A 3,545-nucleotide genomic window follows, 5' to 3' on the forward strand; every position below is an offset into this window, starting at 1 on the left:
CAGACTATGAGTGTTATGTCTTGTTAGATGAACCTGCAAGTCACCTTAGAATCACAGTTCTAGAATGGAACTTAAAGAACGAGTCCAGTTCACTTATTGTTTTTAATGAGGAAATAAGGACCTTGAGAAGATGTCTTACTTAGGGGGACTAACTGGGGGCCAAAACAGAATTGGAACACAACCATCTTGATTTTCTAGGCAAGTGCTTCCCCACTCTCCCAAATAGCATACGCTGTAGCTTCTGTGCCAGGTACAATACAACTGCAGATCCGCAAAGCAGACCCAGAAACAAGCCAACATGCTTGCCTTTTAATAAGCTGAAATAGTGAGGGAGAAGAAAAGGAAAAATCAGTTAGGCAGACCACTAAGGCTAGTCTTCTGAGAAAGAGCCTGAAAAAATCACAGCTACAGGCATAAATAGAGCAGCCTGGGGAAAAACCAAACTGCACCTGCACTGATAAGAAGGCAAGGCCCAGCATAGAGCCTTTGTTCTTTGTGTGATTAGCAGGCTCTCAGGAAAAAAATTCCTCCCATTTTCAGGCATTTACATGGTGGGCTCTGTGGGAACTTGCACAGGGAGGTGAGGGGCTTGCCTAAAACAGACCCACAGTTACACAAACAAGAGAAGCTGCACTTTGTGCTTACCCAAGATATACAAAGATAAGGAGAGTTACATACACAGCTTCATAGATAAGGGAAGTTACACAAACAGCTACAGAGTTGAGGGGAGTTTCACATAAAAGCTTTTGGATTCAACTGTAAAAACAGCAGCTCACTCGGGTCCGTTCTCCACTGTGGAGAGCTTTCTTTCTTTTGCTTATAAAAGTTTTGCTCCAACCTCACCCTTGTGTCCAGCCTCCTTAATTTTCTTGGTTGTGAAACAATGAGCTCAGATAACACCTCAAACTACAAGACCATTGACCCTAGACAGTTTCATTAGTATTGAGTTGTAGTCATTTCAAGAAGGCAGTTTGTTATCTTTATTCATATGGCCATGCTATATAGAGTCTGATTGGTTTATTACATTTTTGTGTCTTATAAATGACAGTGTTATTTGTGAAGCTATCATCTTAGAACTGTACTTCTTCCAAGCAAGTGAATACCAGCTGTAGAATTATCTAAAGAAAATGCACACTTTTTTTTAGTGCTTGGACCATTTGGGTATATGTGGGCCCTGGCCCTGGCCCTTCTCCCCTGACTCAAATTTCATAAGACAAAATTTTAACACTACTTTTGGCATCAGCATTTGAGAATTATATTTTTCCATATGATAACTTTTCCTTATTTATATTCACATCTGTGGTTAAGCCCTTCAGATCTTGTAAATTACACAAAAAACAGAAAAGACAAAAACCTTAAATGTTAATTATCTTTCCCTGAAACACATTTCTCCTGAATACTTTATCGTAGTTACATACCATTGATTGTTTCTTGTATAGAAACCAAGCCTGTCTGTAAATCTTAAATTAATGACTAAGAGGATTAAGTAAATGTACACCAAGTTGTGTATGTTGGAATTTCTTGAAAGAGAGTATCCAGTATTTTTCTGATATATTATGCATGTGTAAATTAAAAATTATAATGAAACAGTTTTTTAGGTTTGTTTCCCAAAGTGATTATATCTTTAGGTGTATATAATAAAGCAAAATGTAACCTATATCCTTGAAATATTGTCAGGCACAATAAAATCAGTGATAACATAAGCCTTCCAGGAATTAGAAGCATATGAAAAAATAAAATAAGCAAAGTTGAACTAGTTTTAAGTTTATTGTCTTAATGGGAAGTGAAAAGCAATATGATCTTAGTTACTGCTCATGTAACCTTTTTTAAAAAATTGCTTTAATGTAGCTGATGGATATTGCCTCTGAATATCCTTATAAAAAATGTTCTCTGGCCGGGCACGGTGGCTCAGGCCTGTAATCCCAGCACTTTGGGAGGCCAAGGTGGGCAGATCATGAGGTCAGGAGATTGAGATCATCCTGGCCAACAAGGTGAAATCCCGTCTCTACTAAAAATACAAAAATTAGCTGGGCATGGCGGCACGTGCCTGTAATCCCAGCTACTCAGGAGGCTGAGGCAGGAGAATCCCTTGAACCTGGGAGGTGGAGGTTGCAGGAAATAATATGGAATTGTAGTAGAGATAAAAGAAATTAATAAAATAGGAAACAAACTTACAATAGAAATGATCAACAAATCAAGAAGTTGAGTTTTGAAGACTAAAAGAAATTTATAAATTTCTGACTGGATTGGCCAAGAGAAAGAAAGAAGGCACAGATAATATCAAAAATGAAGAGAGGAATACTTCTCAGATTCTAGAGACATTTAAAAAAATTATGACCAAATTAATGTCAATAAATTTGAACATTTACATGAACTATTTAAATTTCTAGGAAATATATCTTACTAAAACTGCCATGAAAAAGAGAAAATCTGAGCAGTCCTTTAACTGGGAAAAATAGTGATTTTATAATATTAAAAATCTTCCTACAGCCCCACTAATTACTAGATTTTGTCATCTTAGTGAGCTATGTAACTTGTTTCCGCATCTGAGAAATGAAGATAGTAACAATGCCATAGTAATATTGAAGGATTAAATGAGAAAATGCCTGTAAAAGTGCATTGCACAGGGCCTAGCATTTGCCACATGATCAATGCAGCTTGCCTTTATTAGTTTCCTTTACAGCTATGGTGTATCACTGAGTGCAGAATGTGTGTGTTCTTCAGGCTCCCTTGTGTGCAGGCTCTGAAAGGTAAAGGGGCCTGCTCTTTGTTCTGAAGTAAAACTGCTCAGGGCATTAGGTGGATCTGAAATTTAAAAATAAAATTGAAAGTAAATCAATCTTTTCCTTAAATCAGATTGTCTCTGCTTTTGTTTTGCACACCTGCCTCAATATCAGTCTTGGAATTTTTTTCCTGCTGTTGTGGGTGCAATTTTTGTGATATGTACAGAACCACCTACCCTACTCCAGGCCTTGGATCCTGACCTTAGTGGCTTGGAAAAGGCTGTCACTTAGAATTTACACTCCAGTCCTCACTATCACTGTCTCCATTCTTCTTCCATCTCCCCACCCTGGGGTGATTTCCCAGCCTGCTATTTGATTTTCCATTCGTATGGTTCCCCTAATCTCCAGAGCATGTAGTACTCACTAGCCAGAGTATTGCCCATGTCTTCTGTGTTACATAAAGTTATTCCCAGCGTATCTGATCTCTTCTCATCCTTTCTCTGTCACTCGGGGGCTTTGCTCAACCTGGTTGTGTCACAATCTTTTTTTTTTCTTTTTTCTTTTGAGATGGGTTCTCGCTCTGTCGCCCAGGTTGGAGTGCAGTGGCGCGATCTTAGCTCACTGCAACCTCCCCCTCCTGGGTTCAAGCCTTCTCCTGCCTCAGCCTCCGGAGTAGCTGGGACTACAAGCGCCCGCCACCACGCCCAGCTAATTTGTGTGTGTCTGTGTGTGTGTGTATTTTTAGTAGAGACGGGGTTTCACCATGTTAGCCAGGATGGTCTCGATCTCCTGACTTCGTGATCCACCCACCTCGACCGCCCA

At 39.4% G+C, this 3,545-nt stretch overlaps 1 annotated feature.

The window, feature by feature from the left end:
* Positions 849-1,049: a silencer, noted in NCBI's record as "peak2324 fragment used in MPRA reporter construct". NCBI's record gives its function as "represses an SCP1 promoter by STARR-seq MPRAs in K562 erythroleukemia cells {active_cell/tissue: K562}" and the evidence as "EXISTENCE:reporter gene assay evidence [ECO:0000049][PMID:32103011]".

The sequence above is a fragment of the Homo sapiens genome, chromosome 15 (genome assembly GCF_000001405.40).
Source record: "Homo sapiens chromosome 15, GRCh38.p14 Primary Assembly".
Taxonomy (NCBI): Eukaryota; Metazoa; Chordata; class Mammalia; order Primates; family Hominidae; genus Homo; species Homo sapiens.